This window comes from Homo sapiens, chromosome 12 (genome assembly GCF_000001405.40).
Source record: "Homo sapiens chromosome 12, GRCh38.p14 Primary Assembly".
NCBI classification, from domain to species: domain Eukaryota; kingdom Metazoa; phylum Chordata; class Mammalia; order Primates; family Hominidae; genus Homo; species Homo sapiens.
In genome coordinates, this window is record NC_000012.12 from 98,796,585 (window position 1) to 98,813,236 (window position 16,652).

The following is a 16,652-nucleotide window of genomic DNA, read 5'->3' on the forward strand; positions in this document are numbered from 1 at the left end:
TTTGAAAGACTCTGGTGAAATGTAGTGAATGCAACCTTAGCTACTTTATCAAGAACTGAGACTTACTTAATCAAGATTGGAAATAAGGGTTTATGATAGTCCGAGAAGTAATGAAGTTTCTATTTTCATGTAAACTACATAAGCACCAAGAGCAGCAAACCAGAAAAATGCCCCCCAAAACAGAAGAATGGCTTCTAAATATATGTTTTTTTCTAAGTTTCATTTTAAGCAACAGACAAGGATTTAACTAAATTATTCTCTACTTAGGCTACTAAAATGGCTTTTCTATTGCTATCAGGATGTAATTTCAGATCCACTCAATTTCATGAAATTGACTGAGATTCAAATCATACATCTGGTATATTTTAAATGATGCTGCATGCACTAGGCAATACTGATGCTGATTATCACACCGGAGTAGCTGGTCTCAGGTAATTTAGTTAAGAGTATTAAATCAGAGATGCCCAATTAATTTATTAGACATGTTCATGAATATTTCTAAAATTATTATGAGGCTTGATGAATGAAAACTTTCCCTTTTTCTTATTGTTCATTGGTGACACAAATTAGGCCAGATAAATATTTAGAATACAAGATTTCCAGAATTATAAAACCAGGGAGAACTCTAAAGTGTATCTAGTCTAATGTTCTCATTTTATATGTAAGAAAACAGAGGATCGGGGAAACAGGAGAATGTAGTGGTTAAAAGCCTGGGCTCTGGAGTCAGACAGACCCGAATTCCAGTCTCAGATTGGCAAGTTATTCCCTGTGTGACCTTGAGCAAGTTATTCAACCTCTGTAAGCCTCCATTTCTTCGTCTGTAAAATGGGGACAATAATTGTACTAGGGGACACTGTAAAGACTCAGTAAATGTTAGCAGCTATCATATTATTTTTATGAATAACAGGTGACTCCTAAGGCAAATAACCAGCCACGGAACTAAAACTTAGAGTTTCTGATATATACAGAAGCTTGTTTTTTTATCTAAACTCAGTACCTAAGTTAAATATTCACTGGTACTGACAATTTAAGTACTGTCTAACTCTGCATTAAATAGAAGGATAACTATTTCAGTCTTTTTTGCTGTTGAATTGATCAAAATATTAGTGATTACATATTGAAGTCTCAATTTCATGAAGATTCACACATATTTAGCTTTCCATAAACAATGGATATTTCATGTTTACCTTCATAGCTGTTTCAGTGTAATTATATGCTCTTAAATTATTTTCCACCAAAAGCTGCTCATATAAAATAAACAACAAGGTATATTGGCCATAAATAAAAGTTAGGATTGCACTTACTAATGACCTTAAATTTGACTTTAGTTAGATGCTATATTGAACAAGTCTGATATTCTCAATTTGTGCAGTTACTCAGATACCAGCATAGCCTCTATACACCTGTTATGGAGGAAGCAAGAACAAGGGACACGTACAAAAGGAAAAGGTGGGTCTGCAATACGAGTTAGAGTTGCTTTGGCTAAAATAGACTCCTAGGAATCAAGCAGCCACTAATCACAGATATTTGGAATTGCCATTTTTTTTTTTTTTTTGAGACAGAGTTCCACTTGTGTCACCCAGGCTGGAGTACAATGGTGAGATCTCAGCTCACTGCAAGCTCTGCCTTCAGGTTCAAGCGATTCTCCTGCCTCAGCCTCCCAAGTAGCTGGGATTACAGGTGCATGCCACCATGCCTGGCTAATTTTTGTATTTTTAGTAAGAGGGGTTTTGCCATGTTGGCCAGGCTGGTCTTGAACTCCTTGACCTCAGGTGATCCACCCACCTTGACCTCCCAAAGTGCTGGGATTACAGACGTGAGCCACTGTGCCCGGCCTGGAATTGCCATTTTTAGTTAACATTTGCCCTTAAATAGTTCATTCCACTCAAAGTTGAATTTAAAAAAATAAAAAAAAAAAACTGAGTAAGAAATTGCATAAAGAATATTAGCTTTATATAATATGCTCTTAATACTTCTGCTTTTGATAATTTTAGTCAATTGGTGATGTTTTCAGTAAATATTCTCAGACTATTCAGTGCGTGCTTAAAACCTTTTGTTGTAATAAAGATCATTTTTCTAATCTCGAAAATGATACAATTAATTTTAAATCTTTAAAAATAATTAAGAACAAATATAGTACAAATATAGCAAATAGACATTAACTCAAACTATAGTGAGATAAGTTCAAGCATAAACATGCAGAAAGCAAGAGCACCTTTTTATGTAATACCAATGTGATTCAGCAGACCAACAGATGGAGAAAATAGTAATTTGAAAGGTGGCAATTTGTATCCATACCCAGTATTTAGTATTTCAGCTACTAGAAATAAAGTAGTTTGGCAGACTTACCCGCATTTTTGCACAAGCATCTTGGGTTGATTCTGTCCCCCTAAGCTCTTTTATCAGCATAGAACCTAAATACTAAAATACAAAAAAAATTCAATGATTTATGAAATGGAATATACATATGAGTAATGTTTTAAAAACAAATTGTGGAAGTATTACTGGCTAGGTTTCCTGGCTGTAAGTTGTTGCATAACTTTAAAAAACTGACAGTAACTAATCCTAACAAATAAATGCATTCATAGAGAAAATGCAGCAGAATTAACCATAAGTTCTGGGGGCTGTAATTGCTCTTTATAATGAAACTGCAACATCTTCTAAAGATGCCATCTTTCAAATCATATTTAACTGCAAAATGGGGGCATCTAAAAATGTTTTCCCCTTTTTTGAGGCAGCAATGTCTGCAAAAATAAATCACACTACTATCTCTGTAATTACAGGGTTGCATGAGACAGCTGAGAAGCTAAGCAACATGTCCCCCATTTAGGCTTATTCTGCTGCATAGGTAATTAATGTTAGGCTTTTAGGCAGAGATGCAGTTTTGGACCTTTTTCATTCACAGCTGTGTGCCCTATGGTTGATCCACCTGAGAACGGGATGGGAGGGTGGGGGGAGGGAGAGAGGCATTCTCAGTTGTTTCCCAGGGGAAGAGAGCTGGGTTCCTGGTGCGAAGTGCCACCTGGAGGGCTGAATGGAGCTAGAAGGATGACAGTCTCCCAAGAATTGCCAACTACTTTGTTGTTAGAAGACCAGACCCCATACTGTATCATCCTGGTACAAAATGCCCCTCGTGCTCCAGCTTCTGGCTGGGGCCAAATGGTTTTAAACAAAATGTCTGATTTGCCTTTCTATCAATTGACTCCCCTTCAACCTTTTGAAGCTTTAGTAGGGTTTTTGCCTTTTGTCATTCCCCTGCCCCTTGCCCTCCCCCCACCAGCCCCCAAAGAGCTCTATATATGTTTTTTAAAAAAGTGAATTACAATAATTATTTTAGAAGATATCTGATGGACACTTCCTGACAAGACTGGAGACTTGTACTCTGCAGAGACGGGGATGGGAACCACTCTTGTGGACTAGGGAAGTGCCTGACTTGAAGAAGACGTGAGAGGGCACAACAGCAGAAGGCGTGGTCAGGGCCTTGGAGAAAGGCATGTTCAGAAAGGCTTGGGGACTTGGGGTTTGGAGGGAGGAGCCATTTCAATCCTATGGTTTTGGGCAGTACCACTGAAATAAATCCAAAGCTGCAATATAAGTAAGCTTTAGTAAAAGAGGGGCAGAAAGCAGAAAATGAAAAAAAAAAAAAAAAAAAGCTCAACTGGTATGAGATAACCACAATGTCCATCTAAATCAAATGAAGGTGAAATTTATTATCTTTTGGTAAAATCCTTATCTTTTAAGTTATCAGGGAAGTTTGCCTGATTGAAATGTTTCTTTTTAAGAGAGGCAGTTTCAATGCACTGCTGAAGGTTCAGCCACTTTTTCTGCTGTCGTCAAGACAACCACCACCTGACCCAAAACCTACAGTATCTTTTGAACATTTACCAGTTCCTATTACATTTCTCAGCTAATTATAATTAATTCCCCTCTTCTAAAAAACTAAACAACTAACCTAAACTAAACCAAACTAAACTAAACAACTAAAACAGAAAAATAGTATAATCCTATTGATGACAGTGAAAAGAATCTGGTATTTACATAAAGTGGCAGACCCAGTGTTTTGAGACCCAGTGTTTGGTGAGTGAGCAGAGATATATATATATATATGCCATATTTACACTCATTTCCATTTTAAGATTGTACGTTATAACATTTATTTAAAAATATACAACTATATAAGAGGTCACAACAGACCTTAAACTTACAAGATTAAAACGGTTTTAAAGCTCTAGTTATTTGGACTTTCTCTTTGGATAGAAGGCTACTTTAAGAAAAAGTGAAGAGAAAAACATTTTAAAAATTTCAGTGATGGATATGGATATTTTGGTATATTTTCAATGTAAATGCAAACAAGCTGAAAACATACCCCCTATCTCCACTTAGGCCCAAATACTGAATTGAGGGTAACTTACAAAAGCTTTGTAATCACACGACTGGAAGATAAGCTTTTCTGGGTGATGCTGCCAGTACTGTACCGGGGTAGAGGCTGTGGCTTCATTCGGAGGTCGCAAGGTAATGGAAGGTTCTCCCCAGTCTCCTGTCTGAAAATGACATTTATTCTAGAGGCAATATGAGCAGTCAGCAAAGTTCATTCCCTGTAGCTACCCTGAGCTCACCTTACACACAGGTGCTGTGAATGTACCAAAATGCATTTGGGTGTCTTATGTGAATATAAATACTTGGTTATTACATTTTTATATGTATTAGCATATCTCTCAAGGCTGAGTTAATTTTTGAGGTGTGGAGTTGAATTATTCTATTTTTAGAATGACATCCTAAGCTAAGTCACTTTAAAATAAAACATGAAGATATTCATAAATGATTTACTAATCACAATTTTCCATCACAACAGCAAAGGACACACAATCTTTAAAAGAATTTTGTTTTTAAACTTGACTGAAATTTTTAGTTTGAATTGCTTTCACATTCAGAACACACAGTTCTATAAATTTCAGTTCCCAAATATGACATGTACTAGCCACTTTGAATAATTTTAGATCTCTGGAGAAATGGTAGTGTAAGCATGATGCTAAACAAAATTTAAAAGAAAAATTTACTAATGGGTGACACTAATTTCTCTCATCTGAATTCAATTGCACTGATTTAATGATGCTGTCTCAGATGGATTCAGCTACTTTTCTCAGAAAACCTAACGTACCAATGAAGACTAAACAGTGAAATGCCAAGTTTGGTCACATGTACATAGGCATGTACTTTGAGGATTCTGATTCACAAATACAAGCACATTCCCAAATGATGGTATATCATATGATACAGACCTAAAACAGGAGGACCTCCCATCATTTCATTTATCATTTTCCATGAGGTTAGCCTCAACCTGTTTCATCAGTATAATAGCTTAATGTGAGCATCTATAAAGTCAAAGGCCAGTGTTGGCAGGTATTTTCTGGGCTCTACTCTGATTTACATACTACGCATGAGATATTTCTTACTCTTTCTCCTGGGAAAGATTTGGATTTTTCCAAAACTCAGTTCTTTGTTCTCAAGTGGACATAACTAAAACTAAATAGGCAGATTTCTAGAGTGACTCTCCTCTAACCTAGATTTGGCTATATATAGAACTATGAGAAATTACTTTTCTCAGGAGTTGGAAGAGTGTAAAAAGGTCTCATAAACTCCAAAATCAAATAAAACCTTGGTTAGAGAACAAGTTCCACAGAAGTGCTAGAAAGTGTGTTGACACACTGTGGGATTTCTTAAGGAGAATTTTTAAGGAGTCTAGGACAAGAATGCAAAATTTTGGATGCAGTTGTATGTTTTGGGAGAGAAAGGAAGTTCTCTGCTTTATTAAATTCTTTGAAAGAATCTAGAAACTCCAAAAGATTAAGAACCACAGTTCTCTAGGAATGGCGTACATAGGGTGCATATTTTGGGGAGGAGAACTAGCTCTCCAATTTTCTTTGCGCACTTTGGACTTACATTAGGTGACATATGAAGTAGCTGCCAATGATAAAAAGCCCTTTCTAGAGGACTTCAGTAATGCACAGGCTTTTTTTTTTTTTTTTTTTTTTTTTTTTTTTTTTTTTAGCAGTGGAGTGCCTGAAGCTTTTCTCCTTGAGATGGGTCACTTCGACTCGCAGAAGAGCAAAGTTAGCATCACGCTATTTCCTTGGCTTCTCACTGTAGTTAGTGTGTGACTAGTTGGAACTCCTTCGGCTTTTCTCTCCTGCTCTGTTCTCAGCCACTCTCCACATTAGTTTTGTTTTCGTTGCTGATTTACTTTTACATTGCTTAATCCTCCTATTCCCTGTCTGTTGGTATTTTTTATTTTTGTACACATTTATGGGGTATATGTGAAATTTTGTTACATGTATATTGTCTGTTGGTATTGTTAAGACTTTACTTGCAATATTAACTTTAGCATTTTTGTCTGTTTTATTATCCATCCCTGACTCATTCTTGAGTTTTTCTTTTATATTTATATGAATTTTTAGTTTGTAAAAGTGATAACTGACTGCAATTCTAAAATTAGATTAAGTTTTTCTTTGGCTTCTTATTTTGATTTTTTTTCTTTTCCTTCTTTCTCAAATGGCTGGCTCTTTATTCTCTCTCTGGTCTTTATTTCATCTGGCTGTAACTTACTTTTGAAAAACTAGTATAAAATTCAAAATATAGGATACGTGGATTTCAATATCATTTTGAAGCTGAGTGTAATAACCTTTAAGTGATAATAGCTTAAAATTCTGGAAACATGCAGCTATGGGTTCTTAAACAAAAGCTTTACCCAAATCTATCAAATCATCCTCTAATCTCCCCCATTAAACTTCTCCCTCCTTCTCCCGCTCCCTGGATAAAGCAACAACAACACGGCAAACAGGTATTGTACATTTAAGTCACAGGTAACACTGTTAACAAAACAACAGAAGTTTGCATGCAACTCCGTGGAATGATACAAAAGGAGGATCTGGATGGCTTCCAAAGATCCTTTGATCCAGTGTCTGCTGATGTGACAACTCAAACCAAGCATCAGATCTTCATGTGAACCCTATTACAGTTCAGCAGAGGTAGACCTTGGCCAAGCTCAACAGGTAGTTTTCAAAAAAGTCTGAACACGGCATGAGCTGGTGGTGCCATGAGTTGCAGGGCCAGGGCTGGGAACAGGGCTGGGGGTGGGAATGAGTTGGGGGAAGCTAGGGTTATGAAAACATTTCACGTGTTAGTACATTAAGCATGCAAATCATATGCAAATTCATTCTCTAATTGTTCCATTAACTCACACACTTTTATAATTAAACTTTAATGTGAGTTCCATACATTTAAAGCCAGAGCCACAGCCAAATGCTGATCCAAATATTTACGTCATCCACATAAGTTGTAGCAGCCATTGTGGGAATAACAAGCCCCAGCACATACATTCCAATCTCGGTCTGGAAATCACTGAAATCCCTTATTTGATAACCACTGGAAGAAATTAGTGGAACATCCACTTAAATCTGTTTAGACAGCGCCATCATCTGCTCTCCCATGACTCCACTTTGTCCAAAATCACAAACCACTTGCTTTGAATTCAGAGTGATCTGATAGGATTTTCCCTAGGTGCTAAGGTGGGAGATAATTACAAGGAAAAGAAATATAATACTTATTTCATTTTCTTTGTGGCCTTCAAATATTGCTTCAGTCCAAATATTGTCAAATTCCCTACAGGGACTGAATCTACCTTTCTGGAAAGAGACACTGAATTTTATCAGATTTAGTGCTATTTCCAGAAATTCATTTTTAAACAGAGGGAAAGGTGTTCTTAAGATTGAATTTATTAGAAAATAAATTTCTTTTCTGCCTGGAAATTCATCAACTTCTCTCCCCACCCCTGCCTATTTTTTTTTTTTTTAAACTTAGATCTAAAAGTATTTAGAAGACTCAATTTGTAGATGTTAATTCTTCTTTTTGGAATTAATTTAATGGGAATGGATGGACTCCAACAACTGGACTTAACATTACACTGTCGTAAAGGACAGGTATGACCTTGGCCCTTGGCTGGGATTCAGCTGTACCTGGTTGACTCCCAGTAAGAACAAAAGAGTTCAGAGAACAAGGGTGCCTTAGGTCTCAACCCTCCTGGAGGCTGAATTACAGCAGGAATGAGCTATGGAGGAATTACGTAGAGTAGTTACTATATGGAATGGAAGAAGAGGTCAAAAAAGAAAGATTTTTGCCTCATACATAAAATCATTTTGAACTTTGAAGCCTAGTGTTAGGTCTTGTTGACTAGTACATTCATGTCTACATAATACTTGCATCTCCTCAGGCAAATATTTTTAAATTTAGTAATTTTCCACTTAAAAATCCTTATTAAATATTAAATAACAGACCTAAGAAGTCTTTTGCCACAATAATGGTTTATAATCAAAGCTTATTTTTAATGAAAAGCAGACCTAAACACAGCTAACAACGCAATATTTCATTAGAATAGCAAAATGAAGTAGGAAAAGTTTAGGGTAGAATTCTGTCATATTTTAAATTATTATTGACACAGTGGTCTTTGAAAGGATTCCTTAAGTAATCACAAATGAGAAATCAAAATGATTCAAGGTACTCCTAATAAATGTCTTCAGGCTATCTCTTTGGCACTTAAAATATTTACAGAAAATCTTTCCTTTAGGTTCATGTATTTGAAAGATCTTCATATTCCAAGAATTTTGTCATGGCTTAAAACTTCATTTATTTGGTATTTATTATTATTTTTTATATGTATGCTTAAGGCCTTTTTTTTTATTAAGCACACTAAAGAACATCAATTAAACAGAGGAAAATGTACATCATTAGCTCTCTTCTTCAAACTCAAATAAAAACTAAACTTCTAACATAAAGGAAAAATACTTTGACATTAGAATTTTAAATGGAGAATTGATTCTGTGTAACACATGTTTGCAACTGCCAACTATAAATCTGTAGTCTGGGTGAGTCTGAAGGACTATAATTGGGCCACATCTAATATAATGTAATTAAATTAAACATTCTCTTATACCAACAACTGAAAAATACAAAAGCATCAATGGGATTTAGTTAAAAAACAAAAAGCTTCACAAAATACAGAGATTTTTACTGGATGGCAGATTCCAAATTGCAGCTTTTAAACTTTGCATTATTTCAACAGGTGGTAAATAGCTGCAAATTTTTAGTTCACATGCACTGGACACCTACAGCAAATTCTAAAACAAATTGTATCAGGTAGCTGTCTCCCTCCAAAAGGGAAACTGAATATTACATATTCTATATGCTCTGAGAATAGAAAGGAAAAACCCTTCTCTATGTTATTTTCCGTCTTTATTATTATTTATTTTTCCAAGATGGAGTCTCCCTCTGTCACCCAGGCTGGAGTGCGATGGCACAATCTCGGTTCATTGCAACCTCCGCTTCCTAGGGTCCAGTGATCCTCCTGCCTCAGTCTCCCAAGTGGCTGGGACTACAGGCATGTGCCACCACATCTGGCTAACTTTTGTATATTTAGTAGAAACAGGGTTTCACCATGTTGGCCAGGCTGGTCTCGAACTCCTGGCCTCAAGTGATCCACCCGCCTTGGCCTCCCAAAGTGCTGGGAATTACAGGCATGAGACACTCTACCAGGCCTTTATGTTATTTTCTTCTTAAGGAAAAAGTTTCCTAAGGATGTCAGTAGATAATTAAAAGCCATGCTTACAACTTACTTTTCTAACATTAATAGAAAAGTATGGCATTTTCCAAGCCTTGTATTATTCTTTAAAATTTTTAAAAATTAGGATTTAATTGATTTTTAAAAATAGAACCTTTAAAATCTTTTCTATGAGGACTGCTCCCACCTACTTGCTTATAAATTTAGATCTGAATATTAACAAACATTAGTCTCAATTTCTTCAGAACACTTAATGAAAAACTAAAATGATTTTAAAGGACAATTATTGTTTTAAGGTTTTACTTTCAATAATTATGACAAATTTCAGAGATGGGCTACCCAAACATACATAAGATATATGTGATTACATTTACTTTCTGTAATCTCTAAGGCTTTGAAGAATGCTATACACAGCTCTATGCTTATAAATATGCATACGTATATTTGAAAGTGAATGTAAGGAAAAGGCTTCCCATAAACATTCACACATAATGAAAGCAGGATGTTGTAGTTGTTCTTTCAAAAAATCTTCAAGAATGAAGAATTCTAGTTTGATCAAATGCAGTTGGTTATACTGAATTTGTTCCTTTAGATGAAAAAGAGCAGAGATGGCTACTTACGAACACATAAAAGCTCTGGTTAACATTTATGAGTCCAAGAGGAACTGCTGGGTCACGTGAACACCAGTACCAGGCAATGTATAGACACCATGGTCCTCAAGAGCCAGAAGTCCCATGCACAGGAGTACATATGTGCCTGATGCAGCATCCCAAAAGGCACTTCACAAAAATACCCGTGGCATCCCTTCACATGCCGCCCCAAGAATCTGCTCAGTGATTCTCAACCAAGTGTCTCAACCTCTCAGACAGCAGGCTATCCAATGGGAGAAATTCAAAAGGGTGTGAAAATAGAATAGTATTTTAAAATATGGAACATAAAACCCCAAACATTTAAATGTTTATTTTCCAAATAGAAATAAACTTTTTCTAAAGTATGCAAAGGTGAAATATGAACATTTGAAAATCATGCAGCTCAGAGTAAAATGGGTCACAATTTCATACAATTTGCAAAGATCAATTCAGTACTGTCAAATGGAAAAAGGCTGAGAACCACTTTGTAGCTGTAACCGTGCCTCTCCCAGCTCACCTCCCCCCACATTTGCATAAAATGTATACAGAATAACATGCAAATCATACTCAGAAATTTCTCACAAGTGAAGCACATGAATCTTTGAGAATCATTAGACACAAAGGGTTGAAGAGTCCATGAATATGGGGAGGTACAAAATGGGGAGGAATAATGCTGATATATACATGTGTGTATATATATATATATCAATTTACCCTTTTCTTTTTCCTGTAAAAGCAAGTTTAACACAGACGCCTGGAATGAAAGCCAAAACTCACATGGGACATATTTTAACCATACACTTTAAAACCAAGTATGTTTCTTGTTTTAGGACAATGTTTGCACATCAACTAATCACAAGGCACAGTAAATGAAGTATAATAGACAAAGAGTCTCGGAGTCACCAGACATTACAAATTTTCTGCATTGCCAGGACACAGTACCTATAGCTGTTGACAACACTGTGCAACACAGTACATAGCGCAAGTTCAGGAGAAGAAAAGAACCATTTGTAACCTTACATTATGAACCTGATGGATCGCTGAGAAAGGAAATCCTGCGTTCTGATTCGTCCATATTTCACAGACAGACGACTGCTGATATAAACAGAAAACTATCTTATCTTGTCAATATTTAAAACATGGCAGCTACCAAGGTAGCATCCAGGAAGGAAAAGAGGAAAATAATAAAATGCAAAGAATCACATTTAAAAAAAACTCAAAAAATGTTTTAGGGTGCTCAAGGTTTAATAATTGACTTCCAAGTCATTCTTTTTGCTTTAAAACATTTTGAGTTGACTAAAAAAATCATTTATGCATTTATGCAAGGAAAATTACCAATAAATTCATGCCTTGGAAAAAAGCAAACTGTATTTTATATTTGCCGGAAAACCAGAAATACCTTCCCCCTTCACGTCACTACTTTCAGAGGATAAATATTTTCATCAACTTCAGGAAAAACAGGAAAAAACCTTTAACACAGGTCCGATATTTTTATTTTCTTATCTTCAATGACCAAGAGCAAACAGTGCAATAAAATGACTTTTCCTGATTTAGTCATTGCTCTATTTGACAAACCTAGAAGATATTTATGCCTCCAGAGTTCTTACGGGCAAAACTCGGTAGTTAACAAAGGAAGACGTGTCAGCTTGCTACCCAGCACTGGGAGGAGTGAAGGAGGTGGCAGGAAGGAGGCTGGGGCAGGGAAGAACTGAAGTCAGGGAAATTCAGTTCTGTTCCTCAAGCAGAAACCCTTGGGAACAGCATTTGGGAGTCTAATGATTCAGCTCCATAATTCTGGCTCTCCCCCACACCATTAATAAGATAAACTTATCAGTAATGTTTGCTCAGAACCAAACACTAAACTAACCAGCATCCCTTCCCAGGAGTTACAGTAGAAACCTTCAAAGAGACCGACTGAGCTCTTGGCTTGACCCATCCCAAGTTCTGTTCCCGAATTTCATCATTCTAAAAGACACTGTGAAATTAAATCACAGAAAATGGCAGAGCATGTAAACTTATTCAGCAAGCTCTGTGAGCATCTTTAGCATTCACAAGCAGTCCGTACAAAGATCACTGCAGGAAGAAGGCAAGCACATAACCATAATATGGTTAAGAGGCCCGGCAAAGAACTGTATCATCAGCAAACAAATGATAGAAAAGAAGGCTTATCCCTAGCTAAAAGTTTCCTCACCCCAGAAACGCTCACCAGCAATTTAACACCTCTCTCTCTAGTTACAACTGCATCTCCACACACCCCTACACCTTTGCTTTCCATGTCTTCTGTTAACCAGAGGCTTGCTGGGGATGGTTAAGGAAGTTAGATCCCCAGGGTCTGACCAAAGGCACTTCCAAACACCTTTCACTTAAACCAGCTCTGCTATCCTCAGTTCCCTCTCTAAACTTCATGCTATTTTATACATCCATAGAGGGTTCTTCCTCTTCTTACCTTTCTAGCAAGTTCAGTCTTAGACCCATTCACTCTGTTGGCCTTGTCTCCAATAGCTCTCCTCTGATTTGAATGTACTAACTCCATGCGTTAGCTGGATTACCATCTTAAGTGGCATCCTCACCCAGTCCTGAGCTAATTCTTTACACAAATCACATCTTCTGCAACTTTCACACACTTCTAGTGTTAATCTAGTGCTAGAAGTGCTTCTAGCACTTCTAGTGCTAAATAATCCAGAGACCACCTGTCATCTGATAGATGAAGACACAGACATTTAAAGAGGTGAAGTGGCTTGCTCAGGTCACACAGGTGAGTGGCACAATGTGTCAGCCTGCTGGGATGGCTAAGAAGGAGTGTGAGCCTGGTACTGATGTCACCAGAAGGCAGAGGGCCACTCCAGCTATATACAGCTTGGTTCTACTGACCCTGAAATGAACAGAAACTAAAAATAAAATCGTAAGCCCCCTCACCGACTGAACGGACCCCCTTGTGGCCAAGGGGACCCCAGAAAAACCTTAAAATTGAGTTTCTGACCATGATGGGATGGGAGGTGAGACAAGCCTCATTATACCTCCTCTTTTTCATGGTTTAGACACAACAACTGATCGGAATTAATGTTAAAATAGACATCATAAGAGTGACAGAACAGTCTCTTTGTGGCTATAAGATACCAAATTATCAACAGGACCCGAGGCCATGCTAGGCAAAGGTTAAGTCACGCACCCCTATACCTAAAGAATAAACTATGTTCCAACTGCCACAAGGTTTTTCTTTTTCTCTAGCAGCTAAACAGGTACTGGCCTTAAGAGAAGCAATATTTAAACAATTTGCACCTCCACCAGATGCTGATTGACCCTTAGCCCCTGCTCCACCAGCCATAACTACAGCTGGACAAGAGATTGATTCAGTAACTTTATCCAAATAAGATTACTAACCATGGACTAGTTCTGGTTGGTCTACAGAGATTGCACACTTGTGTGCCTTCATGTCCTGAAAAGCCCTTCTGACGAACAGGGCTAACTGTAATATATCTACATGTTAAGTCTCCAACCCAAAGTGAACATAGGCCACATGTTACATGCATGTTGGTTCAATACACATGTGTCAGGACCACCTTCATGAATATTCACAGCTCTTGTAACACATTGAATATATGTGTTTAGCTAATCTGTTCAGCATAAATCTTCTACCTAAGCCCTTTTCCTTCGAAGTACCCGTCTCTGGGGTCTTGGTTGGAGGTGCTTCCCAGCCTGCGGGATGGCCATCTTGCAGGCTGTAACCCTTTAGAAGAAATAAAGTCTCCTCTACTTTACTAAATTCATATATATATATTTAAGTTAACACAAGTATATCTAAATGCAATCAGTTCATGAGACAGTCTTAACTGCACTGGGGTCCAAACACCAAAAAGTTGTTTTAGGTTGTTTTGGTTACTCCCAAAGGGGCCATGCCCAGTCTGCCTGCCTGATGGGCACAAGGCCATTTAACCTTTTGGGCAGACTGCATCACTTCCTGGTCACTTTGAGTCATGAAGACTCCATTTTGTATGAAATCCAAACTCATATCTGATTCAAACTTTTCCTTCCCTCCTTGTGTGTCAGTCTTGGGGCTTAAAAAGCCCGGGGTGGATAAGAGAAGCTCGGTCTGCGCTTTGACTTCTCCTAGGAGAGGTGAGGGCAGGTGTCATGGTCTACCTTGGATGTTCCCTGCCCCAAGCTCTACCTACTTCATGTGTTTAGTTGGGGAGGAAGAAACAGGAAAAGGACGAGGTCCCTTTCTTGTCTGGCTGTTCCTCTGGCAGCCGCACTGCTTTTCAGCTAACGTTAACATGGTCTCCCATGTGCTCTACGTAGCAGCTGCTCCAACCTAGGTTCTCCTGTGTCCCCGTGTGATTTCTTTGGAGAGCTCTTCTAGGATAGAGGGCAGGTCCTCCCACTGCACAGTTTCTGCTGGCAGAAATCTGCCTCTAGCTTGACTTCTTCCAACTCCCACTCAGCCCTCCTAGGACACATGCATGCCCCCTGAAGGGGACCCAGGGGGACAAACATAACCCCAGACTCCTTCTGCACATCCATGTGGCCCACATGATATGGACACACATCCTTGTCACACAGAACAGTAGAAGGGCGGGCTGCTCTGTGAACACTCCCCCTCTCTGCCAGGGCATCCCTCCCCAAGACTCTCTGTGTCAGCTCGGTAGGTGCTATGTGACCTGCCTGGCAGAAGTCCAATTATGGATACCAAGGCCAGTTTTCCCTCCTGCAGGCACCCCCAAGCCAGATGTACATTCCTCCTGGACCCCTTCTCACCAGGATTGGAGAGCACGGGAATGCATTCTGTCTCCTCTCTCATGGCAAAGGAGGAAAAGCCTTAGTTCTTTCCACAGGACTCAGACAATTCCCTGTCCTTCTCCAGCACTAACCAATGTTCTGCCTATGTGGAGAGGTAGCTGACAGGGGCAGGGCAGGATTCACACTGCCTCCTTGTAAACCCCGAACTAGGTGTCTGGCTCCATGATTGATAGCTTTCTCTTTAGGGTGTGCAGTGCTTAGTACCTACAGGAAAATTCCCACTTAGCATCCTGGGAATAGATCTTCCAATAGTGAATAGATCTTTCACTACTCACAGAAATTTACCAGAGTTAAGAAGGGAAAAGAGGATCCTACGCCATACTTATTTCATTAAAAAAAATCATATAAAATTTTTCTCAATGAAGAATAAAGAACCTACCCCTAGTCATATACACTGAGAGTTCATACATGGCTTATGTACATTTTTTAGATGTTATAACAAATATTTTCTATTTATAAGCTATGTTGTAAATTTAGAGAAAGTAAAACCTCTATAATTTCTAATACCGTCATGCACAACATAACGATGTTTCAGTCAACGACAGACTGCATATGCTACAGGGGTCTCACAAGACTACAATACCATATATTTACTGTACCTTTTGTGGGGGTTGGAAGAAGTAAAGCTAGAGCCAGACTTAGGTATGTTTAGATACACAAATACTCACCATTGTGTTACAGTCACCTACAGTATTCAGTATAGTAACATGCTGTACAGGTTGGGAGGAGCAATAGGCTAGATCATATACAGCCCAGCTGTGTGGCAGGTGACACCATCTCACGTTGGGTAAATACACACTATGACGTTTGCATGACGAAATCACCTAACGATGCATTTCTCAGAACGTATCCCCATCATTAGGTTATGCGTAACTGTCATCGTGTCAGTGCAAGTGGTAAAAAGTCAGAATTTAAAAGAGTTTAAAAGCAGTTGTGTTTGAGTTGTGAAAATTATTATTTTATTTTTTTTGACACAGAACCTTTGCTCTGTTGCCCAGGCTAGAGTGCAGGGGTGCGATCTCGGCTCGCTGCAACCTCCGCTTCCTGGGTTCCAGTGATTCTTGTACCTCAGCCACTCGAGAAGCTGGGACTACAGGCATGTGCCACCATATCCAGCTAATTTTTATATTTTTAGTAGATATGGGGTTTCACCATGTTGCCCAGGCTGGTGGTCTCAAACGCCTGGCCTCAAGTGATCCACCCACCTTAGCCTCCCAAAATGCTGGGATGAAAATTATTTTTTTAAAAAATCGGATGCATTCCAGATACCGCAGTAGTTTTGTTAGCAGTAAATAATTTGTCAGGCTCACAGAGCAAGCGACTTAAGGCAGACCTGTTGTAACTGCTGCATTCATAATATGAAATGGCTCTTCTCCTAGACATAGGGTCATTATACTGAGTGCTGGAATTAATTTTTTAAATCCAAGAGTTTCCAGAGTAGAAATTAATTATGTTTATGAAAATAACATTTCAGGGTAAAACATGTATTGAAGTACTGAGTTTTGAAAAGTTTTGAGAAAGAAATATAATACCAGTCATAAAATTTCATCTGGGGCCCAAATTCCTAGAAAAGTAGTGAGTTAAGTTTTTTTGTTTTTTTTTTTTTCTTGAGATGG

At 38.2% G+C, this 16,652-nt stretch overlaps 1 protein-coding gene across 73 annotated transcripts in view; it reads right to left on the minus strand.

The window, feature by feature from the left end:
- Positions 1-16,652, minus strand: part of ANKS1B (ankyrin repeat and sterile alpha motif domain containing 1B) — a 1,250,151-nt gene that overhangs the window by 61,799 nt on the left and 1,171,700 nt on the right. For 34 of the 73 annotated variants that reach the window (XM_006719514.5, NM_020140.4, NM_001352197.2 and 31 more), the window contains 2 exons: positions 4,413-4,541; positions 2,350-2,421 (listed from right to left, as the gene is read on the minus strand). In XM_006719514.5, the coding sequence (XP_006719577.1) occupies positions 2,350-2,421; positions 4,413-4,541 (201 nt within the window). Of the gene's footprint in view, positions 1-2,349; positions 2,422-4,412; positions 4,542-11,259; positions 11,335-16,652 lie in introns of all 73 variants that reach the window. The other 39 variants (XM_006719507.5, NM_001352214.2, NM_001352223.2 and 36 more) reach the window with 2 other exon arrangements.